Raw genomic sequence first — 26,997 nt, forward strand, 5'->3', positions numbered from 1 at the left:
AGTTGGCCCTTATGTCCAGATGTCCCTCTTCCCCTTTCTCATTGTGCTCTCTCCTTCTGTGCCTTTGTTCTATTCTCCCTCCACTTCTCATCCAGATGCCAAGCCCTCTTCCATCAATTGTCTTAAAACTCCAAATGGTCAGTTGCCTCTAAACTTTCCTCTGTCCCATGAACAAGTTATGCAGGCAAATGTAGAATTTAAGCTTGGACCAAGCTGAATCAAGAGCTGCAATTAAAGGTTTCCCTAAGCCCAGAGGGGACCAGCGAATACTTTACTTATAGAAGATTTTGGATTTCCTCTGAATGCATAAGGCTCTGGGTAACCTGATTCTATAGACCAAATGTTATTGTCCCACTCAAATTCAAGTGCTGGTATCTAATTCCCTATGTGATGATATTTGGAGGTAGGGCCTTGGGGAATGATTAGCTCATGAAGGCAGGGGCCACAGGAGTGGGATTAGTAGCCCCTATTGAAGGCACCATAGAGAGCTCCCTCATCCCTTCTGTCATGTGAGGACATGGTAGAAACATGGCTGTCTATGAACCACAAAGCAAGCCCACACCAGACATGGAATCTGCTAACCACTTGACCTTGAATTTTGCCATCTCCAAAACTGAAAGAAACAAATTGGTTTATAAGCTTCCTCATCTATGGCATTCTGTTTTGACTCCAGATTAGCTAAAAACACCAAAATATCAACTTGTACACCAAATTTTCGAAATGGATGCTAAAACTTTGATAGCAAAAGGTGACTGATCTGCCTGAGAAATGAAGCTACATGATCCCTCTTTCCACAAAGCTGGAGGGAGAGTCAACACAAGCAAAAATAGGTCAAATTCTTCTAAAAGCCATACCTGAAGGGTTTTCAATATCACTTGATCAGATCGTAATTTAATCACACAAAGAGCCATAACAAAACACACAACTATCAGAGGTTTTCAATGTCACCTTAAAAACATCATCTACAATATTAGGGAGTGAAAGAAGTCATGGAAGTTTCAAAAAGTCAAACTTTATTTCAGTGTTATGGTAGAAATTTGAGATTCTTAGTTAAGCTATGAATAAATCCTTGGGCAGGTGCAGGCATGGAGATTCTGGGGTGCAGATGCTGAGTTTAAATCTTCCTTTGGAGATGCCCCCTGGCCCCCTCAACCCCTGTCTGCCTGTCAAGAAGAGGCCATCCTGGGCAGAACATTAGAGGCAAATGGCCCAGATGCCTAGCTGAGGGCAAACCTCCATGCCTGGAGGAGGAGGTCGCCTCTGGGAGCAGGAGGACCTGCTGGAACCCCTGCTCACAGGCTCCTTTTCTTGCTCTCCAGCACCTCCTGTAGGCAGGCAAACACCCCCAGCAGCAGTAGCAGCAGGCTCTTCAGCAGCAGTGCTGCTGCTCTGCTGAATGAGAGAAGTCCCTCTCCAGTGAGGCAGAGGAGCCCAGGTTGCACACCCTGGTCTCTGCCTCCATAGCTTCCACTGTGCCCAGGACTGGGAGCAGTGTGGGAGCTGCTGGCTGGAGCTGTGCTGGTCACCCCCTCTCTGCCACCTCTAGCTCCAGCCACACTTTCAGCTCCAGGGCTGAGGCCGGTGGCTGTACAGGAGGTGCCATGAAGTCAGGCAGCTTCTCACTGGGCTGGTCCTGGGCAGTCCCAGGGCAATGGTAGGAGGGCTCTGGAGCCTCCTCTAGCTCCAGCGCTGTCCCTGGAGGGGGCTTTGACCCTGGTGCTAGCACTGGCTCAACAGCTGGCACTGGAAATAGCTGTATTTCTGCACCTGAAGCAGGAATTGAAAAAGGAGAGAGGTCACCAATATCACTCACTTTCCACTGGAATTTCCAAACATGAAAACAACCTCACTGAATTTAAAGGAATTTCAGCCTGAAAACATTGTCCCTGGAAAGACTTCCAGACTGCAGGTGACCTCAGCATGTGCCTGTGTCTCAATGAGCTCCAGAGGCTCCAGCTGGACAAGGACAATGTGCGGATGTGGCCCTGGTGGGATCACTGGTGAGGCCTGGCCTGGTAGCTCCATCTGGGGCCTGATGTCTACCTGGTGACTCCTGTCCTGTGGTACTTGGGGGCACCTTCTGCTAAATGGCCAGAGGCATCTGGGGTGAGGGATGAGCCTACAAGGGCATTGTCAGAAAAGAAAGATTCTCACTCCTGCCATTCCTGAAGCAGGAGCCTTGAGATGTGGGGATGCAGCACAAGAACATCTTGCTGTCTTGAGCATCTCCCACCAAGTGAGCTGGCTATGGGGCTAACTCTAGGATGTGGGTGCCTGGTTATCGGGATTCTTTTTTTTTTTTTTGAGACATAGTCTCATTCTGTTGGCCAGGCTGGAGTGCAGTTTCATGATCTCAGCTCACTGCAACATCCGCCTACCAGGTTCAATCAATTCTCCTGCCTCAGTCTCCTGAGTAGCTGGGATTACAGGCACAAGACATGCACCACCACACCTGGCTAGTTGTTTTTTTTTTTTTTTTTTTTTTTTGAGACAGAGCCTCGCTCTGTCTCCCAGGCTGGATGGAGTGCAGTGGCGCGATGTTGGCTCACTTCAAGCTCCGCGTCCTGTGTTCATGCCATTCTTCTGCCTCAGCCTACCGAGTAGCTGGGACTACAGGCACCTGCCACTATGCCCGGCTAATTTTTGTATTTTTAGTAGAGATGGGGTTTCACTGTGTTAGCCAGTATGGTCTCGATCTCCTGACCTTGTTTGTTTTTTGTATTTTTAGTAGACATGTGCTTTTACCATGTTGGTCAGGCTGGTCTCGATCTCCTGATTTCATGATCCTCCTGCCTCAGCCTCCCAAAGTGCTGGGATTACAGGTGTGAGCCACCGTGCCTGGCCTGGTTTCCAGAATTCTAAGTTCCGTTAGGGTCTGTTGCCAAGGAAGTGAGGTCGCTTCTTTAAGGTTCTGTCCCCTTGGCCTCCTCCTTCCTGAAGACCTACTCAGGACCCCAGTGGGCTGCTGACTGCTCACCTTCCACACAGGTCAACTCCTTACCTGTACACAGTTATGTCCACCCAGGGCCTGCTTGGACACCTGCACCTGATGTTCACCAGAGGCCTAGGAATCCACTTGGGGCCTGGGAACCTACAGGGGCCTAATGTTACCCTGCAGATTGGGTAGCCACCTGGGGACCAGACATCAACCTGGGTACTGTGGTTGACCTGTGGGCTAATGTCCGGCTGGGGACTGGTTATTCACCTGAGGCCTGATGCTTACCTGGGGCCGAATGTCCCCCTCAGGGTGAATTCCACCTCAGGCCTGTATGTCCACCTGGGGCCTGATGTCTGCCTTAGATCTCTGTCCCACTGGGGCCTTGTGTTCACCAGGGACTGGTATCCAGCTGTGGCCTGATGACCTACTGCATCCTGTTGCTCACCTATGGCCTGGTGTCTACCTGGGGCTTGGTGATCACCTGGGAGCTGGATATCAACCTGGGGCCTGGGTGTCCACTTAAGACCTGATGTGGGCCTGGGGCCTGACTGTCCACCCGGGGACTGGGTGTCCACCTGGGGTCTGATGTCCACCTGAAGTTAGGTATCTACCTAAGGCTTGGTGTCTACCTGTGACCTGATGTCCACATGAGTCTGGGGTTTGGTTGGGGCCTGCTGTACATCTGGGACCTTGGTGTCTATCTGAGGCCTGATGTCTACCTGGTGACTGCCATCCTCTTGAGGCCTGCTATCCACCTGGGAATGGTTTATCCATGGAAATGGTTATGTCCACCTGGGGCTGGATGTTGCCCAGCGGCTAGATGTCCACCTGTGGCCCCGTGTCCACCTAGGGCCTGATGTCCACCTGGGGCATGGTGTTCACCTGAGACCCGGGTGTTTACATAGGGCCTCATGTCCAGCTGGTGCCTAGGTGCCCACTGGGGGCCTTGTGTTAACCTGGGGACTGGTATCCAGCTGGGTCCTAATGACCACCTGGGTTGAATTATTCACCTAGAGTTTGGTAATCACTTAGGGCTTGAGTGTCAGCCTTGGACCTGGTGTCCACCTGGGCCTTGGGTATCAAACTAGGGGTTTGGTATCCAGTTGAGACATCATTTGCACCTGGGGTCTGAGTGTTCGCATGAGGCCAGATGACCACTGGGGGCCTGAATGTCAACCTGGGTTCTGAAATTCACTGGAAGCCTAGGTATCTAGCTGGGGCCTGATGTCCACCTGGTACTAGGTGTCAACATGTGGCCTGATGTAAACCTCTAGTTGAGTGTCCACCTTGGGCCTGATGTCCACTGGGGGACTGATGTTCCCCTTTGATCTGATGTCTACCTGGAAACCGTGTATTCACCCATGGCCTGATGGTCACCTGGGGTTGAATGTCCAACTGTGGCCAGATGTGCACCCGGATCCTGGGCATCCACCTGGGGCCTGATGTTCATCTGGGGCCTGGAGTTCACCTGAGGCACGATGTCCACCTGAAGCCTAATGTTCATCTGAGCACTGAGTCTAATGTACTCCTGGGTTCTAGTGTCCTCTTGGGACCTGATGTCTACCAGATCCTGGTATCCACTTGGGGCCTGGTATCCACCTAGGACTTGATATTCACCTGGGGCCTGGGAATCCACTTGATAACTGGTGCCCATCAGGGTCCTATGTTCACCTTGGGACTGGGTAACCACCTGAGGCCTGATGTCCACTTAGGGCATAAGTGTTTAGCTGGGGTCTAGTGTTCACATAGGGTCTGATGTCAACCTTGAGCCCAGGTATTCACCAGGAGACTAGTGTCCAGCTGGGACCAGATGTTCACTTGGGGCCTGGTGTCAACTTGAAGCATGGTTGTCAACCTAGGACCTGATGTCTAGTCCAGTGTCCACCTTGGGCCTGTTTACTACCCGGGGCCTGTGTGTCCACATAGACCCCGATGTCAATCTGGTGCCTGGGTATTTACCGGAGGCCTGGATATTCATTGGTACATTATGTCTACTGGAGTCTTTGTGTCAATCTGAGCTCTGATGTCCACTTAGAGATTGGGTATCCACCTAAGGCCTGTTGTTTACATGGGGCCTGTAACACGAGGTTCCAGATGAACTCAGATGTCCACCTGAGGCCTGATGTCCACCTGAGTTCTGAGTGTTAACACAGGGCCTGCTGTCAACCTGGGACCTAAGTATTTACCTAGGGCCTGGGTGTCCACCTGGGGCCTGACTTCCAAATAGATCTTGTGTCAACAGGTGGCCTGATGTGCACTTTGGGCCTAGGTAACTTCCTGATGACTAATGCCCACATGGCTCCTAAGGACCATCTGAGGCCTGGTATTAATTTAGAGACTGGTATACACCTGGAGTCCAGGTATCCACTTGGGACCTGATGTTCACCTGGAGTGTACGAATTCACGTGGGGCCTGGTGTCCACCTTGAGTGTGTGTATCCAATTGAGTGCTGGTGTCCACCTGGAGTCCAGTGTATACCCGGGGACTGATGTACACATGGGGCCTGGGCATCCATCTAGGACCTGATATTCAGATAAGGGCTGGCGTTCTCCTGGCCTGGTGTCCACATGGAGCCTGGATATACACTTGGAGCCTGATGTCCCAGGTGGATACCTGGGCCCCAGTGGTCATCAGATCCTAGGAAACTCTCAGGCCCCAGGTGCACATAAAGCTCCAAGTGACCACCTAGGCCACAGGTTGATACACAGGGTCCAGGTGGACACTGGGTGCAAGATGAACACCAGGCCCCTGGTGAACACAAAGCCCCAGGTGTCTACCTAGTCCTCAAGTGGACATCAGGCACTAGATTGACACACAGGTACCAGGTGGACATCAGGCTGCAGGTGAACATCAGGCCTCAGGTGGTTGGGTTACTTATAGCATAGGTGGCCATCAGGTCCCAGGTCTATATCCACTCCCCACCTGAAAATCAGGATCCAGGTGGATACCCATATTCTAGGTGAACACCAGTTTCCAAATGGACATCAGGCTCCAAGTGAACACACAGGCCCCAGTTCAATACCAGCCTCAGGTAGACATCAGGACCCAGGTGGACCCCAGGCCCAATGTGCATGCCTAGTCTCTTGGAATACATCATTTTCAAGATGGACACCCAGATTCCTCGTAGACATCTGGTGCCAGGTGGATATCTGGCTGCAGGAGGACATCAGGCCCCAGGTGGAGACCCAGTACACAGGTGTAAATCAGGCTCCAGTATTTCATCAGGCCCCAGCTAAACACTTGACTAAAGGTGTGCATCAAGACCCAGGTTGACACCCAGGCTTCAGTGCACACTAGGCCCAAAGTGTACACCTGTGCCAAGGTGGGCATCAGGCCCAAGGTGTACACCAGACTCCAAGTGGACATCAGGTTCCAGGTTCCAGGTTGACACCAGTCTCTAAGTAGATCCTTAAGCCCCAATTGGTCATCAGGCCCAAGGTGGATAGATTGACCCCAGGAGGTCTCCAGGTCCCAGGCAGGCCTCAGGTGGACACTAAGCCCTAGATTAACACAAGGTCTGAGATGGTTTCAGCCCCTGTGTGGACTTTAGTCATAAGGAGCTTACCTAGGCCCTAAGAGGACATCAGGTCCCAGGTTGACACAATGAACCATGTAGAAGTCAGGCTCTAAGTAGACACCCAGGCCCTAGGTAAATACTTTGGTCCCAAGCCAACATCAGGCCCTATGTGGACACCCAGACTCCAGGCAGATGTCAGGCCCCAGGTGAACACTGAACTCAGGGTGGTCATCAGGCCCTAGGTTGACACATAGGCCACAGGTAGACAACAGGCATAGGTGAACTTCAGGCTAAATATGAACGTCGGGCTCCAGGAAGAAGTCTGTGCCCCAGTTAAACACCGGGTCTTAGGTAGACATCAGGCCTCAAATGGATGCCCAGGCCCCAGGTGGATATAAGGCCTCAGGCAAACACCAGATCCCAGGTAGACATTAGGCACAAGATGGACACTCAGGCCACAAGTGAACATCTGTTCCCAGATGGACATCCATCCCAAGGTGGACATCAGGCCAGAGATGTACACCCAGGCCCCAGGAGAACCCCAGGCCCCAGGAGGACACTCAAGCGCCAGAAGGACACCCAGTCCCTAGGTAACTAAAAGGCCCCAAGTGGACATGATGTTCCAGATGGATATGAGGCCCCAAGTGGATACTAGGCCCAGGTGGACCCCAGGCCTCAGGGGCACACCAGGCCCCAGGGGAACACCAGGCCCTGGGTAAGCATGCAGTCCCAGGTGGACATCAGGTGCCAGGAGGACACCAGGACCCAGTTGGTCATCAAGCCACAGCTGAACACCAGTTCCCCATGAACACCAGTCCTCAGGTGGGCACCTAGTCCTCCCGTGTGCATCAGGTGCCAGGCTGACATAGGCACCAGCTGAACTCTGGGCCTCAGGTGAACATCAGATCCCAGGTTGTCACCCAGGCCCCAAGTGAATACCAGGTTTTAGGTGGACACGAGGTCCTAGGTGGATGTCTATGCTCCTGGTGAACCTCAGGCCCTAGTGGACACTCAGGCCCTTTATAGACATCTGGCTCCTTGTGCACTCCCAGGGCCCAGGTAGACATGAGGCCCCAGAGGAAAACCAGTCCTTAGTCATCTAACACTGAATTCCCCTAGGGCTGGAGACTGAGTATTCACCTTGGGCCTAGGAATCTACCTGGGGCCAGATGTTGATCTGGGGCCTGATGTCTACTCAGATTCAGCTGTCCACTTAGGGTGGGGTGTTTTTCTGGGACCCAGAGTCTACCTGAAATCTTGGTATCAACCTGGGGCCTATGTGTCCACTTGGAGTCTGATGTGCACTTGAAGCCTGAATTTTCACCTAGGATCTGATGAGCACTTGGGGCGCAGGTTTCCATCTGAAAATCAGGCTCTAGTTATACATCTGGGCCCCAGGTATACCCTGGACACCGAAAGAACTCCAGCCCCTATCTTAACATGAGGTCCTAGGTGGATGCCCAGGCGTCATGTCTACTTTAGGCCTCAGGTAGACACGACTCCAGGCAGGCATCAGGCCTAATATTGGCTCTATGTCTCCACCCAAATCTCATGTTGAATTGTAATCCCCATGGGTTGAAGAAGGGGCGTGGTGAGAGGTGATTGAATCATGGGGGCAGACTTCCCACTTGCTCTTCTCGTGATAGACTTCTTACGAGATCTGGTTATTTGAAAGTGTGTAGCACATCCCCCTTCTCTCTCCCTCCTCCTCCCCCATGGTAAAAAGGGCTTGCTTCCTCTTGGCTTTACATCATGATTGTAAGTGTCCCAGGCCCGCCCAGTCATGCTCCCTATTAAGCCTGAAGAACTGTGGGTCAGTTAAACCTCTTTTCCTCATAAGTTGCCCAATATCAGGTAGTATTTTATAACAGTGTGAAAATGGACTAATACAAGACCTTAGGATAACAACCATGCTTCAGGCCATAGGTGGACATCTGGCTGCAACTGGACACTATTCCCCAGGTGGATACTTAGGCTCAAGGTTGACATTAGTCCCCAGGTAAACAACAAGCCCCAGGTGAATACCTATGCCCTAAGTAGACATCAGGCCTCAGGCTGACACTCAGTCTAAGCTCAACATTAGGCTCAGGTGGACACCCAGACTCCAGGTGGATACTAGACCCCAGGGGTACACCAGACTCCTGGTAAGCATAAGGCCCCAGGAGGACACTAGAATCCAGGTGTACATAAAGCCACTGGTTGACTCCAAGCCCTCAGATGAACACCAGGCCAACTAGTGGACATTAGGCACATGAGAATACTTGGGCACCAGGCAGGTATCAGGCCCCGGGTAAACATCAAACTTCAGGTGGACATCGTTCTCCATTTAAACTCTAGCCCCAGCTAAACATCAGGCTCCAGGTGGAAGCCCAGACCCCAGGTGCACTTCTGGCCACAGTTGGACATCTGTCCCCAGGTGAATATCAGACCATGGATGGATAGCAAGTCCCCAGGTGGACATCAGGTCAAAAGAGAATATAAGTCTCTAGGAAGACATCTGGCCCCAGGTGGATACTGAACTAGAGGTTTACATCAGACCCCAGATTGACATTCAGTCCCCAGGTGGTCATGACACCTCAATTGGACACCAAGTCCTCAGGTTGATAACCAAGTCCCAGGTGGACACTACGTCAAAGATGAACACAAGACCTAAGGTTGTCATTCAAGCCCCAAATGGACACCAGGCCCTAGGTGAATAATATGACCCAGGGGATGATTGGGACCCAGCTGCTTACCAGTCCCCAGGTTTACACGAGGCCCCAAGTAGGTTCCTAAGCTCTAGTTGAACATGAGGTCTCCAGTAGACACCCAGGACTAAGGTGGACATCAAGCATCAGATGGACGTCTGGCTGCGGATGAACATCAAGCCTCACATGGATACCTAGTCCGCAGGTAGGCATCAGGCCCCAGTTTGACATCAGTTTCTGGGTGGATCCTTAAGCCCCAGGTGGATATCCAGTGTCCAGCTGGACATCAGCCCCTCATGGACGCCCAGTCCCCAGGTGAATATCAGGTCTCAGGTGAACACAAGTCCTCAGGCAGACATCAGACACCAGGTGTACACTCAGACCCCAAGAGGACATCTGTCCCCAGGTTGACATCACTCTCAAGGTGTACATTAGGCCACAGATGTACACCCAGGTCCAAGGCAGACACGAGTCCCCAGTAAAACTCAAGGCCCCAGGAGGATACTCAAGCCCTAGGTGGATGCCCAGACCCCAGGTAATTACAAGGCCCCAGGTGGATACCAGATTCCAGATGAACATTAGGCCTCAAGTGGATACCTAGGCACCAGGTAGACACCAGGCCCCAGGTACATCCCCTGGTCTCAGGTGCACACTAGGTCCCCAGTGAACACTGGCTACAGGTAAGCACCCAGTCCAAGGTAGACATCATGACCCAGGTGGTCATTAGGCCACAGCTGAACACCAATCTTGAGTGAACACCAGATCCCAGGTGGGTACCTAGTCCAGGTGGATATTGGGCCCCAAGTGGACACCCAGCCCCCAGGTGAACATCAAGCTTCAGGTGGACATCATGCCTCAGGTGAACTCCGGGTCCCAGCCCAGCTGAACATCAGGCTGCAGGTGGATGCCTAGGTTCCAGGTGCACAACAGGTCACAGTTGGACATTCAGCCCCAGGTGAACATCAGGCCATGGGTGGATAAACAGTCCACAGGTGGACATCAGGTCAAAGGTGAACATCAGTACTCAGGTGGACATCAGGCTCCAGGTTGACATCAAGCCCAAGGTGGACACTGAACTAGAGGTTTACATCAGGCCCCAGGTTGACACCCAGGCTCAGGTGGACATTGGGCCCCAGGTGGATACCTAGGCCCCTAGTAAACCTCAGATTCTAGGTTGACATTCAGGCCCCCAGTAGTCATTTGGCCCCATGTGGACACTCAGGCGCCAGGTTCACATGATGTCTTAACTGGACACCAAGGGGCCAGTTTGATACCCAAGTCCTGTGTGGGTGCCAGGTCCAAGGTTACACTCAAGCCCCAAGTGGACACCAGGCCCTAGGTGAATAATACAACCCAGGTGGTCATTAGGCCCCAGAATGACACCAGCCCCCAGGTTAACAGGAAGCCCCCAGTGGGTACTTAGGCCCCAGGTGGACATCAGGCCTAATGTGGACACCCAGGATCAAGATGGACATCAGGACTCAGGTGGACATCTGGTGACAGGTGGACAACAAGCCTGGTGTGTACCTTGTCCCCGGGTGGTCATCAGGCCCCAGTTCAACACCAGTCCCTGGGTGGATTCCTCGGCTCCAGGTGGACATCCGGTCTTCAGCTGAACATCAGACCCCAGGTGAACACCAGGTTTTAGGTGGACATTAGGCCCCTGGTGGACATAAAGTACCAGTGGACATCCATGCTGCAGGTGGACACCCAGCGCCCAGATGGGCATCAGGCCCCATTTGGACATTGAGGCCCCAGGTGGATATCAGGCCTCAGGTGAACCCAAGGTCCAACATAGACATCAGGCCTTAGGTTGACACTCAAGCACCAGATGGACTGCTGCACCTAAGCAGAAAATAGACCCCTATCTGGATATCTAAGATACAGGTATACAACAAGCCCCAGGCTGACATCCAGACCCCAGGTGGACACCATACCCCAGCTGAACAGCAGGCAACAGTTTGGCACCAAGTACCTAAGTGGAACAAAGCCTTAGGTGATTACCAGGCCATAGGTAGTCATTAGTCTCCAGCTGGACAATAGTCCCTAGGTGGATACCTAGGCCCCAGGTGGACACTAGATCCCAAATTAACACAAAAACCAAGTAAAAAATCAAGCCCCCAGTGGACAACCAGGCCCTAGGTAAATACACAAATCTCAAGCTGACACCAGGCCCTATTTGGACACCCAAGCCCTAGGTGGACTTCAGGCCACAGGTGAACACTGAACTCTAGAAGGTCTTCAGGCCCTGTGTTGACTACCTGGCCCCAGGGGGACACCAGGCATAGATGAACTTCAGGCACCAGCTGTACATCAGGTTCCAGGCAAATGTCCCAGCCCCAGGTGGATATCAAACCTCAGATGAACACCAGGCCCCAGGTAGACATCAAAAACCAGGTGGACACTCAGGCCCCTACTGAATATCCATCCCCAGGTGGACATCCATCCCAAGGTGGACATGAGGCCACAAATGTACACTTAAGCCTAAGGCAGACCCCAGGCCCCAGGAAAACTCCAGGCTCCATGAGAGCACTCAGACCTCAGGTGGATGCATTGGTCCTAGGTAAATACAAGGCCCCAGACAGACATCAGGCCCCAGTGAACACCGGAGCCCAGGTGGGTACCTAGTCCCCAGGTGTGCAACAAGCAGAAGGTTGACCCAGTCCCTAGCTGAACTCTGGGCCCCAGCTGAACATGATAACCCAGATGGTCACCCAGGCTCCGGGTGAACACACGGTCTTAGGTAGACATCAGATCCCACATGAACACTCAAGCCCCAGGTAGATATCAGGCCTTAGGTGTACACCAGACCTCAGGTGGGCATCTGGCTCCAGATGGCCATAGATGGATAACTAAGCCTCTCCTGGATATCAGGCCCCAGGTAGACACCAGGCTCCAGGCGAACATCTAGCCCCAGGGGGACATCCAGCCCCCGGTGAACATCAGGGCTCACATGGATAAACAGTTTACAGATGGGCACCTGCCACAGGTGCCTCACCTCTACTCCCTGAAACCTCACTTCCCCTCATGGGCCTTCTGTCCGACTTGGGGTACCCCTAGCCGCCCTAGGCACACACTGGACTCGAACCAGGGGCGCCAGCGTCCCTGGGGCTCAGCGCAAGGGTTCATGGGAATACACTTTCGTCCGTGGGGGACCCAGTCCTCACTTCTCGGCGGCGCAGTTTTTTTTTCTCTGTCTCAGGTGCCTCACCTTCCCCTCATGGGCCTTCTGTCCACCTTGGGGTACCCCTAGCGGCCCGAGGCATACCCTGGGCTCGAACCAGGGATGCCAGGGTCCCCGGGGCGCAGCGCAAGGGCTGATGGGGAGACACTTTCTTCCGTGGGGGACCCAGGCCCCGTTTCTCTGAGGCGCGTTTTTTTTTTTTCTGCCCCAGGTGCCTCACCTTCACCTCATGGGCCTTCTGCCCGCTTTGGGGTACCCCTAGCGGCTCCAGGCACAAGCTGGGCTCGAATAAGGGTCGCCAGGGTCCCCGGGGCCCAGCGCAAGGGTTGATGGGATGACACTTTCACCCATGGGGGACCCAGGCCCCGCTTCTCCGCAGCGCGTTTTTTTTTTTTTATTTGCCCCAGGTGACTCACCTTCCCCTCATGGGCCTTCTGTCTGCTTTGGGTTACCCCTAGCAGGCCAGAGGTGCACCCTGGATTCCAGCCAGGGATGCCAGGGTCCCCGGGGCCCAGTGCAGGGGCTGATGAGAAGGCACTTTCGTCCGTGGGGTGCCCAGGCCCTGCTTCTCTGTGGCGCGGTTTTATTTTTTTCTTTTCTGCCTCAGGTGCCTTACCTCTCCTCCCTCAAACCTCACCTTCCCCTCATAGGCTTTCTGCCCGCCATGGGGTACCCCAAGAGGCCCGAAGCGCACCCTTGTCTTGAACCAGGGATGCCAGGGTCCCCTGGGCCCAGCTCAGGGGCTGATGGGAAGACACTTTCGTCCGTGGGGGAACCAGGCCCCGCTTCTCTGCGGCACAGTTTTTTTTTTTTTTTCTGCCTCAGGTGCCTCACCTTCCCCTCATGGGCCTTCTGCCCGCTTTTGGGTACCCCTAGCGAGCCCAAGGCGCACCCTGGGCTCGAACGAGGGTCGCCAGGGTCGACGGAGCCCAGCGCAGGGGCTGATGGGAAGACACTTTCATCCGTAGGGGACGCAGGCCCCGCTACTCCGTGGTTCGGTTTTTTTTTTTTCCTCTGCCCCAGGTGCCTCACCTTTCCTCCCTCAAACCTCACCTTCCACTCCTGGGCTTTCTGCCTGCGTTGGAGTACCCCTAGCGACCCGAGCGCACCCTGGGCTCGAACCAGGGATGCCAGGGTCCCTGGGGCCCAGTGCAGGGGCTGATGGGAAGACACTTTCGTCCGTGGGGGACCCAGGGCCCGCTTCTCGGCGGCGCGGTTTTTTTTCTCTGCCCCAGGTGCCTCACCTTCCCCTCAGGGGCCTTCTGCCTACGTTGGGATACCCTAGCAGTCCCGAGGTGCACCCTGGGTTCAAACCAGGGACGCCAGTGTCCCCAGGGCCCAGCGCAGGGGCTCATCGGAAGGCACTTTCTTCCGTGGGGTACCCAGGCCCCGCTTCTAGGCGGAGCGGTTTTTAATTTTTTTCTGTGCTCCAGGTGTCTCACCTTCCCCTCATGGGCCTTCTGCCCGCCTTGGGGTACCCCTAGCAGGCCGAGGCGCACCCTGGGCTCTAACCAGGGATGCCAGGGTCCACAGGCCCAGCTCAGGGGCTTATGGGAAGACACTTTCGTCTGTGGGGGACCCAAGCTCTGCTCCTCTGCAGGTTTTTTTTTTTTTTCTCTTCCCCAGGTGCCTCACCTTCCCTTCATGGGCTTTCTGCCCGCCTTTGGGTACCCCTAGCGGGCCCGAGGCCCACCCTGGTTTGGAGCCAGGGATGCTAGTGTCCCTGGGGCCCAGCGCAGCGCTGATGGGAAGGGACTTTTGTCCGTGGGGAACCCAGGGCCCACTTCTCCGAGGTGAGCTTTTTTTTTTTTTTCTGCCGCAGGTGCCTCACCTCTCCTCCCTCAAACCTCACCTTCCCCTCATGAGCCCTCTGACCGCCTAGAGGTACCGCTAGCGGCCCGAGGCACACCCTGTGGCTGAACCAGGGACGCCAGGATCCCTGCAGCCCAGCACAGGCGCTGATGGGAAGACACTTTCGTTCGTGGAGGACCCAGGCCCCGTTTCTCAGTGGCTTGTTTTTTTTTCTCTGCCCGGGTGCCTCACCTTCCTCTAATGGGCCTTTTGCCCGCTTTGGGGTACCCCTAGCCGGCCCTATTCGCACCCTGCGCTCGAACCAGGGTCGCAGTGTCCAAGAGGTCCAGCGCAAGGCGTGATGGGAAGGCACTTTCGTCAGTGGGGGACCCAGGCCCCGCTTCGCTGCGGCGCCTTTTTTTTTTTCTGCCACAGGTACCTCACCTTCCCCTCATGGGCTTTCTGTCCGCCTTGGGGTACCCCCAGCTGCCCAAGGCGCACCCTGGGCTCAAACCAGGGATGCCAGTGTCCCTGGGGCCCAGCACAGGGTCTGATGGGAAGGCACTTTCTTTCATGGGGAACCCAGGCCTCCCTTCTCCGTGGCGAGGTTTTTTTTTTTTTTCTCCGCTCCAGGTGCCTCACCTTCCCTTCATGGGCTTCTGCTCACTTTGGGGTACTGCTAGCGGCCCGAGGCACACACTGCGTTTGAACCAGGGTCACCAGGGTCCACGGGGCCAAGCGCAGGGGCTAATGGTAAGGCACTTTTGTCTGTGGGGGACCCAGGACCCCCTTCTCCGTGGCGCGTTTTTTTTTTTTTTCTCCCACAGGTGCCTCACTTCTCCTCCCTCAAACCTCACCTTCGCCTCATGGGCCTTCTGCCTGCCTTGGGATACCCCTAGCAGCCCGAGGCGAATCCTGGGGTCGAACCAGGGACGCCAGGGTCCCTGGGGCCCAGTGCAAGGGCTGATGGGAAGATACTTTCTTTCGTGGGGGCCCAGGCACCGCTTCTCCACGGCGCATATTTTTTTTCTTTCGGCTGCCCCAGGTACATCACCTTCCCCTCATGGGCCATCTGCCTGCTTTGGGGTACTCCTAGTGGAGTGAGGCGCACCCTGGGCTCGAACCAGAGTCATCAGGTTCCCTGACGCCCAGCGTAAGGGCTGATGGGAAGACACTTTCGTCTGTGGCGGACCCAGGCCCCGCTTCTCAGCGGCGCGGTTTTTTTTTTTCTTGCCACAGGTGTCTCACCTCTCCTCCCTCAAACCTCAACCTCCCCTCATGGGCTTTCTACCTGCCTTGGGGTACCCCTAGCGGCCCAAGGCGCACCCTGGGTTTGAGTCAAGGTCGCCAGGGTCCACGGGGCTCAGCACAGGGCCTGATGGGAAGGCACTTTCGTCTGTGGGGGACCCATGCCCTGCTTCTCCGTGGCGCGTTTTTTTTTTTCCTTCCTGCCACAGGTGCCTCACCTCTCCTCCCTCAAACCTCACCTTCCCCTCATGGGCCTTCTGTCTGCATTGGGGTACACCTAGCAGCCCGAGGTGCACTGTGGACTCCAGGGTCCCTGGGGCCCAGCGCAAGGGCTGATGGGAAGACACTTTCGTCCGTGGGGGGGACGCAGTCCCCGCTTCTCCGCGGCGAGGTTTTTTTTTTTTCTCTGCCCCAGGTGCCTCACCTTCCCCTCATGTGCCTTCTGCACGCTTTGGGGTACCCCTAGCGGCCCAAGGCGCACCCTGGGCTCAAACAATGGAAGCCAGGTTCCACGGGGCCAAGCGCAGTGGCTGATGGGAAGACACGTTCTTCCTCGGGGACCCAGGCTCGGCTTCTCTGCGGCGTTTTTTTTTTCTTTTCCCCAGTTGCCTCACTTTCCCGTCATGGGCTTTCTGCCCGCCTTGAGGTACCCCTAGCGGGCCCGAGGCGCACCCTGGTTTCGAGCCAGAGACGCTAGGGTCTCCGGGGCCCAGTGCAGGGCTGATGGGTAGGGACATTCGTCCGTGGGGGACCCAGGCCCCACTTCTGGGCGGCGCAGTTTTTTATTTTTTTCTCTGCCCCAGGTGTCTCACCTTTCCCTCATGGGCCTTCTGTCTTGGGGTACCCCTAGCAGGCCGAGGTGCACGCTGGGTTCCAGCCAGGGATACCAGGGTCCCCAGGGCGCATTGCAAGCGCTGATGGGAAGACAGCTTCTTCTGTGGGGGACCCAGGCCCCGCTTATCCGCGGCGCGGTTGTTTTTTTTTTTTCTCTGCCCCACGTGCATCACCTTCCCCTCATGGGCCTTCTGCCCGCTTTTGGGTACACCTAGCGGCCTGAAGCACACCCTGGTCTCGAACCAGGTACGCCAGGGTCCCCTGGGCCCAGCGCAAGAGCTGATGGGAAGACACTTTCGTCCGTTGGGGACCCAGGCTCCGCTTCTCCGTGGTGCAGTTTTTTTTTTTTTTCCTGCCACAGGTGCCTCACCTCTCCTTCCTCAAACCTCAACTGCCCCTCAGGGATTTCTGCCCACCTTGGGGTACCCCTAGCAGGCCCGAGGCGCACCCGGGGCTCGAACAGGGTCTCCAGCGTCCACAGGGCCCAGCGCAGGGACTGATGGGAAGGCATTTTCATCCGTCGGGGACCCAGGCCCAGCTTCTCCTAGGCGCGGCTTGTTTTTTTTTTTTTTTTTTTTTTCCTGCCACAGGTTCCTCACCTCTCCTCCCTCAAACGTCAACTTCCCATCATGGGCTTTCTGCCCGACTTGGGGTACCCCTAGCAGCCCAAGGCGCTCCCTGGACTCGAACCATGGATGCCAGGGTTGCCGGGGCCCAGCACAGGGGCTGATGGGAAGGTACCTTCATCCGTGGGTACCCAGGCCCCGCTTCTCAAAGCTGCGGTTTTTTTTCTCCACCCCAGGTGCCTCACCTTCCCCTCATTGGCCTTCTGCCTGCTTTGGGGTAACACGAGCGGGCCCAAGGCGCTCCCGGGTCTCGAACCAGGGTCGCCAGGTTCTCAAGGCTAGCGCAGGAGCTGATGGGAAGGCACTTTCATCAGTGGGGACCCAGGCCCGGCTTCTCCGAGGCGCTGATATATATATATATATAATTTTTTTTTTTTCTGCCACAGGTGACTCACCTCTCCTCCCTCAAATCTCACCTTCCCCTCATGGGCTTTCTGGCTTCCTTAGGGTACTCTAGCGTGCCGGAGTCTCTTCTGGTCCTTGAACTAGGGTCGCCAGGGTCCAGGAGGCCCAGCGCAGGGGCTGATGAGAAGGCACTTTCGTCTGTGGGAGACCCAGGCCCCGCTTCTCCTCGGCACGTTTTTATTTTTCTGCCGCAGGTGCGTCACCTCTCCTCCCTCAAACCTCACCTTCCCCTCATGGGCCTTCTGCCTGCTTTGGGGTACACCTAGCGGGCCCGAGGTGCACCCAGGCCTAGAACCAGGGTCGCCTGGGTCCACGGGGCCCAGCGCAGGGACTGATGGGAAGGCACTTTTTTCCATGGGAGACCCAGGCCCCGCTTCTTCGTGGCGTGGTTTCTTTTTCTTTTCTGCCACTAGTGCCTCACCTCTCCTCCCTCACAGCTCACCTTCCTCTCATGGGCTTTCCACCGCGTTGGGGTACCCCTAGTGGCCCAAGGCTCTCCCTGAGCTCAAACCAGGAACCCCAGGTTCCCCGGTACCCAGCACAGGGGCTGATGGGAAGGCACTTTCATCCGTGGGGGACCCAGGCCCCACCTCTCCACGGCGCGGGTTTTTTCTTTCTTTTTCTGTGACAGGTGCCTCACCTCTCCCCTCAAAACTCACCTTCCCCTCATGGGCTTTGTGCGCCCAAAGCCCCCCTTGGGGTTCACTTAGCGGCTGAGGCACACCCTGAGCTCGAACAAGGGACACCAGGGTCCCCGGTCCCAGTGCAGGGACTGATGGGAAGACACTTTCGTTCGTGGGGCACCCAGGCCGTGCTTCTCCGCGGCGAAGTTTTTTTTTTTTTCTCTGCCCCAGGTGCCTCACCATCCCCTTAGGGGCTTTCTGCCCACCTTGCAGTACCCCTACTGGCCCGAGGTGCACCCTGGGGTCAAACCAGGGATGCCAGGGTCCCCAGGGCCCAGCGAAGGGGCTGATGGGATGGCACTTTCATCCGTGGGGGACCCAGGCACTGCTTCTTGGTGGCACGTTTTTTTTTCTCTGCCTCAGGTGCCTCACCTTCCCCTCATGGACCTTTTGTTCGCTTTGTGGTACCCCAAGCGGTCCCGAGGCGCAACCTGGGCTCGAACCAGGGTCGCCAGGGTCCACCACGCCCAGCATAGGGCCTGATGGGAAGGCACTTTCATCCGTGGTGGACCCAGGCCCCACTTCTCTGAGGCGCGGTCCTCTTTTTTTTTTTTTTCTGCCCCTGGTGCCTCACCTCTCCTCCCACAAACTTCAACTTCCACTCATAGGGCTTCTGTCCGAGTTGGGGTACCCCTAGTCGCCCGAGGCGCACCCTGGGCGTGAACCAGGGATGCCAGGGTCCCTGGGGCGCAGCGCAAGGGCTGATGGGAAAAAACTTTCGTCTGTGGATGACCCAGACACCGCTTCGCGGCGCATTTTTTTTTTCTTTGCCCCAGGTGTCTCACCTTCCCCTCATGGACCTTCTGACTTTCTGCACCTGCTCCGGCGCTGTGGGCCTCCCTGCGCCTGCGCCGGCGCTGTGGGCTCCCCCCCCCCCCGGCGCCTGCGCCGGCGCTGTGGCCCCCCGCCCCCCGCGCCTGCGCCGGCGCTGTGGGGCCCCCACCCCCCTGCGCCTGCGCCGGCGCTGTGCAACTTTGCGAGGGCGGAGCTGCGTTCTTCCCAGCACCGACACGGAGAGCATCGCCGGGGCGGAGCTGAGTTCTCCTCTGCACACACTTCGGAGATACAGCAAAGGCGGAGCAGTGTTCTCCTCAACACAGACCTGGGCAGGCCGGGGTCTCCATGAGGGCGGAGCTGCGTTCTGCTCAGCACAGACCCGGGGGACACCGCGAAGGCAGAGTAGCGTTCTCCTCAGCACAGACCTTGGGGGCACTGCCTCGCTTTGGGACAACTCGGGGCCGCATAGACGCTGAATAAAATCCTTCCTGTTTGCAGCCCTGAGTAATCAGGGTCAGCGACCAGTAAGAAGGGTTCAGTGTGGAAAAGGGAAACCAAAAGCCCCTCTGAATCCTACCCACCGAGGTTCTCCCCAGCCAAGGCGAGGCGCCGCAGTGCGAGATCCACACCGCAGCCTCAGAAGACAAATGCAACATTCCTAATGCGGACATGACACCCAAAATATGACACGCCCATTGCTCATGTAACAAGCACCTGTAATGCTAATGCACTGCCTCAATACAAAAATATTAATATAAGATCCGCAATCCCCTTGCTGCCATGCAGTCCTAAGACAGATCATAATAATTAACATTGACATAGTCAATACAAACGTAGTAACGAACCTAGGGTTAAGGTTGGTGTTAGGGTTAGGGGTTAGGGGTTAAGTTTAGGGTTAGGGGTTGGAGATAGGTGTTGGGGTCAGAGTTAGGAGTTAAGAGTCAACGTTTAGAGTTAAGGGTTAAGAGAGGTTAGGGGTTAGGGATAAGGGGTTAGGGTTGGATTAGTGTGAGGGTGAGGGTTGTTGTTAGGGGTTAGGCTTAGGGGTTACAGTTAAGGGTTAAGGGTTAGGGTTAGGGGTTAGGGTTAGGGTCAGGGGTTAGGGGTCAGGGGTTAGGGGTCAGGGTCAGGGGTCAGGGTCAGGTTCAGGGGTCCCACTCTGTGAGTTGTCTATTTACTCTGCTGACTGTTCCCTTTGCCATGCAAAAGCTGTTTAATTAAGTCCCAGCTATTTATCTTTGTTTTTATTGTATTTGCATTTGGGTTCTTGGTCATGAAATCCTTGCGTATGTCAATGTCTAGAAGGGTTTATCCAGTGTTATCTTCTAGAATTTTTATAGTTCAGGAATTAGATTTAAGTTCTTAATCCATCTTGAGTAGATTTTTGTATAAGATGAGAGATGAGAATCCAGTTTTATTCCCCTACATGTGGCTCACCAATTATCCCAACATCATGTATTGTAAAGGGGGTCCTTTCCCCACTTTATGTTTTTGTTTACTTTCTCGAAGATCAGTTGGCTGTAAGTATTTGGTTTAATTTCTGGATTGTCTCTTCTGTTCCATTGGTCTATGTTCCTATTTTTAAACCAGTACATTGGTGTTTTGGTAACTATGGCCTTATTGTACAGTTTGAAATCAAGTAGTGTGATACCTCCAAGTTCTTTTTGCTAAGGCTTGGTTTGGCTACATGGCTCTCTTTTGGTTCCATATTAATTTTAGAATTGTTTTTGTAATTCTGTGAAGAATGATGGTGGCATTCAGATGGGGATTGCATTGAATTTGTAGATTGCCTTTAACAGAATGGTAATTTTCACAATATTGGTTCTACCCATCCATGAGCATGGGGATGCGTTTCCATTTGTTTTTGTCATCTATGACTTCTTTTCTTTCTTTTTTTTTTTTTTTTTTCCAGAGGGAGTTTCGCTCTTGTCGCTGAAGTGGGAGTGCGATGGTGTGATCTCGGCTCACTACAACTTCTGCCTCCCGGGTTCAAGCGATTCTCCTGCCTCAGCTTCCCGTGTAGCTCGGATTATACGCATGTGCCACCGTTCTTGGCTCCATCTATGATTTCTTTCAGTAGTGTTTTGTAATTTTCATTGTAGAGGTCTTTTGATTCCTTTGCTAGGTATATTCCTAAGTTTTTTGTTGTTGTTGTTGTTTTTTGCAGCTATTGTAAAAGGGGTTGAGTTCTTGATGTGATTCTCTGCTTGGTAGCTGTTGATGTATAGAAGAGCTACTGATTTGTGTCCATTAATCTTGTATCTGGAAACTTTGCTGAATTCTTTTATCAGTTCTAGGAGCTTTCTAGAGGAGTCCATAGGGTTTTCTACGCAAAAGATCATATCATCAGCAACAAGTGACAGTTTGACTTCCTCTTTACCGATTTGGATTTCCTCTATTTCCTTCTTTTGTCTGATTGCTCTGGCTACGACTTCCAGTACTATGTTGAAGAGGAGTGGTGAGAGTAGGCTCCTCGTCTTGTTCCAGTTCTCAAAGGGAATGCTTTCACTGTTTCCCCATTCAGTATTATGTTGGCTGTGGGTTTGTCATAGATGGCTTTTATTACATTAAGGTATGTCCCTTGTATGCCTATTTTGCTGAGAGCTTTAATCATAAAGCAATGCTAGATTTTGTCAAATGTTTTTTCTGCACCTGTTGATATAATCATATTAGATTTTTTTAATTCTGTTTATTTGGTGTATCACATTTATTGACTTGCATATGTGAAACCACTCGTATATCATTGGTATGAAACCCACTTGATCATGGTGGATTATTTTTTGATATGTTGTTGGATTCAGTTAGATAGTATGTTGTTAAGGATTTTGGCATCTGCGTTCATCAAGGATATTGGTCTGTAGTTTTCTTTTTTGGTTATGTCCTTTCATGGTTTTGGTATTAGGGTGATGCTGGCTTCATAGAATGAATAAGGGAGGGTTTCTTCTTTCTCTGTCTTGTGGAATAGTATGAAAAGTTTGGTATCATTTCTTCTTTGAATGAAAGAAGACATTCTTTGAATGTCTGGTAGAATTCTGCTGTGAATCTGTCTGGTCCTCGGCTTTTTTTGCTGGTAATTTTAAAATTACCATTTCAGTCTTGCTGCTTGCTTTATTGGTCTGCTTGGGGTATCTAATTCTTCCTGATTTAAGCTAGGAGAGTTGTATTTTTCCAGGAATTTATCCAACTCTTCTAGGTTTTGTAGTTTATGTGCCAAAAGGTGTTCATAGTACCCTTGAATAATCTTTATTATTTCAGTGGTGTCAGTTGTAATATCCCCTGTTTCATTTCTTAGTGAGGTTATTTGGATTTTCTCTCTTCTTTTCTTGGTTAATCTTGCTAATGGTCTATCAATTTTATTTATCTTTTCAAATAACCAACTTTTTGTTTTATTTATGTTTTGTATTTTTTGTTGTTGTGTCAATTTCATTTAGTTCTGCTCTGATCTTGGTTATTTCCTGTGTTTGCTGGGATTGGGTTTGGCTTGTTCCTGCTTCTCTAGTTCCCTGAGATGTGAACTTAGATTGTCTATTTGTGCTCTTTCAGACTTTTTGACGTAGGTTTTTAGGACTACAAAGTTTGCTCTTAGCAGTGCCTATGCTGTATCCCAGAGGTCTTGATAGGTTGTGTCATCCATTTCGAAGAAATTTTTTACATTTCCATCTTGATTTCATTTTTCACCCAATGCTCATTCTGTGAGGAACAACCAAATTGTTTTCTGCAGCAAGGGCATCATTTTCTATTCCTAGCAGCCAGTTCATGAGGGCTCCAACTTCTCCACCTCCTTAGCAACATTTATTTTCTGTGTCATTGTTATGAAACCCTTACTTGTGGGTGCAGAGCGGCATGAATGAAGTCAATTAACATGTTTATTACCTCACAGAATAGTTACCTTTTTGTGTGCATGTGTGGGATAAGAAAACTTAACTCTATCCCCTGTGACTGAATAGTGGCCATTCCAGCTGCTCCAGGCTCCAGCAGAGGAAGACCGGGGTAGGTGGCTCCACCAGGGTGATCCTCAGGTCTGGCGCTCACACATTCCAGAGGCCACCCAGACCATGCTCCGCCGCCTGGGCGCCCAAGTTGCAGTCGCCCTCTGTGTGCAGGCAGCAGCTGCCTGGCAACCCCCGAGCCCGCTCGCGCTCCCACCATAATATCCAGGGAGGGAGAGAATGATTTTATTTTATTTTTTTTGAGACAGACCCTCGCTCTGTCGCCCAGGCTGGAGTGCAGTGGCCTGATCTTGGCTCACTGCAAGCTCCGCCTCCCAGGTTCACACCATTCTCCTGTCTCAGCCTCCCTAGTAGCTGGGACTACAGGCGCCCACCACCGCGCCCGGTTAATTTTTTGTATTTTTAGTAGAGACGGGGTTTCACCATGTTAGCCAGGATGATCTCGATCTCCTGACCTCGTGATCCACCCACCTCGGCTTCCCAAAGTGCTGGGATTACAGGTGTGAGCCACCGCGCCTAGCCAGAGAGAATGATTTTACTCCCCATATCGCAGGGGATTTACATTCCCCTGCGTTATTTTTCGTAATATCCAGGGGGAAGATGAAGATATTACTCCCCATATAGCATGGGAGAACAAATCCCTGCGATATTGTTCATAATATCTCTAGGGGGAGAGAATGATATTTCTCCTTTTATTGCAGGAAGTGTACACCCCCCTTGCGATATTGTTTATAATATCTAGTGGGGGAGAGGACGATGTTACTCCCCATATTGCAGGGTGTGTACAACCCCCTAGAATATTGTTCATAATATCCACGCGGGGAGGAGATGATGTTACTACCCATATCGCCAGGGTGTACTGCCCCCTGCCATATTGTTTGTAATATCCAGGCTGGAAAAGGATGATATTACTCCCTGTATCACAGGGGATGTACACCTCCCTGTGACGTAATATCCAGGGTGGGAGAGGAGTATATTACTCCCTATAAGGCAGAGTGTGTATACACCCCTCTGTGATATTGTTCATAATATCCACTGGGAGATATGATATTACTCCCAATATCGTAAACACCTCATGTGTACACCATCTGTGATATTGTTTGTAATATCCAGTAGGGGAGAGGATGATACTACTTTCCACATCCCAGGGGGTTTACACCCCTCTGTGATACAGTTTGTAATATCCAGATGGGGAGAGGGTTATATTACTCCTCATATCGCAGGACACGTACACCCGCCTGTGATATTGTTTGTAATATTGTTCCCAATATCATTTTCCCCCATGGATACAGGAACAACATCGCATAGGACTTGTACACCCCCTGCCATACTGGGAGTAGTAGTGTTTTATCCCTTGCTGGACATTAGGAACAATACCATGGGGGGGTGCACAGCCCCTGTGATATTGACAGTAATATAATCCACTATCCCCTAAATATAGGAAAAATATCACAAGAGGGATGTACACACTTGGTGATATTGAAAGTGATATGATCCTCTCCCTACCTGGATATTAGGAGCAATATCACAGAAGGGTTGTACACTCCCTGCGATATTGACAGTAATATCCTCTACCCCCCTGGATATTAGGAACAATATCACAGAAGAGGTGTACACCCACTGTGATACTGACAATTTCCTCTCCCCCCCTGGGGATATAAGGAACAATACCACGGGGGGGTGTACACCCCCTGTGATATTGACAGTAATATCATCCTCTCTCCCCCAGATATTAGTAACAATATCACTGAAGGGGTCTACAACCCCTGTGATATTGACAGTAATATCCTCTCCCCCCCAGATATTAGGAACAATACCATGGGAGGATGTACACCCCCTGTGTCATTGACAGTAATATCAACCTCTCCCCCCACCGGATATTAGAAAGAATACCACGGGGGCTGCACACCCCCTGTGATATTGGGAGTAATATCACCCACTATCCCCTAAATATTAGGAACAATATCACAAGGCGGGGAGAACACCCTCTGCGATATTGGGAGTAATGTCATCCTTTCCCTGCCCCTGCATACTAGGAATAATATCACAGGGGATGTACACCCCCATGCGCTATTGGGAGTAACATCACCCTTTCTTCCCATGGATATTAGAAACAATATCACAGAAGTGGTGTACACACGCTGCACTGTATAGAACAAAGCAGGCGGAGGAAGGTGGGATAACCTTGCTAGCTGAAGCTTCTGGCTCTCTTTTTTTCTTCTTCCCGTGCAGGAAACTTGCTTCCCTTCTTCCTGCCCTTGGACATGAGACTCCAGGTTCTTATGCGTTTGGACTCTGGGACTTGCACCAGTGGCTTCCCCGAGGCTCTCAGGCCCCCGGCCTCAGACTGAAGACTGCACTGCGGGCTTTCCTGGTTTTGAGGCTTTTGGACTTGGACTGAGCCACTACTAGCTTCTCTCTTTCCCTACCTGGCAGACAGCCTGTTGTGGGACTGCCTTCTAACCGTGTGAACCAATTCTCTCTGGTAAACTCCCTTATACATATACGTGTATCTTGTTGGTTCTGTCCCTCTGGAGAAACCTGACTAATACATTTTGTATATTTTTCCTCCACTGCCCTTTCCTCTGCTTCTAGGCTTACCTAGACCACCACCATTCTTTCCCCCTTTCTAAAGTAAAAGTTGTTTTTTTCTCACTAAATGCATGGTATTCTGCCCATTTTCCATGGCTTCCCTCAGCCCTGCTCTGTTTATTCTTGCTATCTTAAGAGGAAATCCCTGCCTCTTTCATGGCTTTTCCCACTTGGTCTACTTACTGGTTTCTGTTGTTCTCAGAGACACACTGAGACCTTTCACATCTCACTGTCACTTCTTGGAAGGGCTCTCTACCTCGTCTGCCTGCTGAGCAACCTCTTGGAGTGACGCGGGCACTCTTGAGTCACTGAACTTGAGCTATTTGGTGTTAGTATGTTAATTTATCTTCTTAGACCACTTACCACTTCCTTAACTTCAAAAGAAAAGAATAAGTATTATTTTCCATGGTTGATATGAAGAGTAGAAATAACTTATACAAAATACATTGCAGTTAAGTGATAATAAATGGCTGTGAATGTCCTTATTAATGTTATTCTATCAGTCTCAGCTCAGATACCATCTGCTCTGTGAGCTCTGCTCTGAATCATATCTGCTTCTTCTCTGGGTTCCTTGTGCTCTGTTCTTAACTACTTTAAAGCAGTAATTGTTCTGATTCTAATTAGTGATGCTTCCCAATAAAATTTTAATTTTGTAGATCTCTTCCCCCTACCCCTGCCCCAGCCTAACCAGTGTTTTCTTACTTTTTTGTGTACAGGCTACATCACTGGTCTTCTTTTATTTGTGGCTAAATAAATGTTGTGTTAGAAGAGTAAAGAGTTCCCAGTTACATGGGATCTATAGTTCTACAAAATGAATGTATACATAATCCATGTAAATACTTCACTTATTTTAAAACAATTTTTTAATTTTTAAATTAAATTTAATTTGTGCATGTGTGTGAGACCAGAGTGAGAACAGAGATGGCGGTGGTGAGGGGCAGTGGTCTCACCATGTTGCCCAGGCTAGTCTTGAACTCCCCTTCAAGTGCCACCCTCCTCACCTGGCCCCCCTCACCTTGCCTCCTCCCCTCTCACTCCTATGCCAACTCCTGCCATTCCCTACCCCCTCTGTAGACTGCAAGACTCATCAAGTGACTTGCTGAGCAAACTCTGCTGAGAAGAGATCTGTTTAGGGACACAGGAGGCCAAGTACACAAAAAAGCAAAAGAACTAGCATGCCTTTTTCAATGGATGTCTATTTTACAGGGCTGGCTTCAGATTATTATAGCTTTAAATAAAAGGACCGTTTTGTCATCTCGGCCCATGGCCTACATTATTTCTTTACTGTCCATTGCCCTGGGCACTTGACTAATAATTTAACAGCAGTTTTTTTTTTTTTTTTAAATCATGATTCATTGCATTGCTGTAAGAGTAATTAGAGGTAAAGTAGGGCTTGAAACTGCCTGTAGTTGGTTACTTACTGAGATCTTAGCATCATTGTCAGGTGAGAGGGTGAAGTTTTAATTAGCGCTAAGTGGGATAGAAATTCAATGCACTGAAACTGCAGTGTCCAATTCAGTAGGTGCTAGTCACCTGTAACTGTTGAGCACTTGTAATCCTGGCTAGTCCTAATTGAGATGTGTTGTGTTAAATACACTGGATTTTGTCGTTGGAGTGGGAAGAACAGTGTAGAATATCTGCTTGATTTTTTTTATATTTATTACATGTTAAAATTATTACTATGATTACTATTTGGGACATACTGAGTTAAGTATATTTAAAATTAATTTCACCTTTTCTTTTAATGGGGCTTACTAGTACATTT

At 51.9% G+C, this 26,997-nt stretch overlaps 1 long non-coding RNA gene and 1 pseudogene across 1 annotated transcript in view; one reads left to right on the plus strand and one right to left on the minus strand.

Annotated features, from left to right (window-relative positions):
• Positions 1 to 992: 992 nt before the first annotated feature.
• LOC100996703 (uncharacterized protein C2orf27A-like) lies at positions 993 to 4,592 on the minus strand (annotated as a pseudogene).
• Positions 4,593 to 21,220: 16,628 nt separating this feature from the next.
• LOC105379274 (uncharacterized) overlaps positions 21,221 to 26,997 on the plus strand; it is a 31,237-nt gene continuing 25,460 nt past the window's right edge. The window contains exons 1-2 of the long non-coding RNA XR_007068493.1: positions 21,221 to 21,262; positions 24,873 to 25,125. This is a non-coding gene — a long non-coding RNA (uncharacterized LOC105379274). The remainder of the gene's footprint in view (positions 21,263 to 24,872; positions 25,126 to 26,997) is intronic.

Source organism: Homo sapiens (assembly GCF_000001405.40).
Source record: "Homo sapiens chromosome 14 unlocalized genomic scaffold, GRCh38.p14 Primary Assembly HSCHR14_CTG4_UNLOCALIZED".
Classification (NCBI taxonomy): Eukaryota; Metazoa; Chordata; class Mammalia; order Primates; family Hominidae; genus Homo; species Homo sapiens.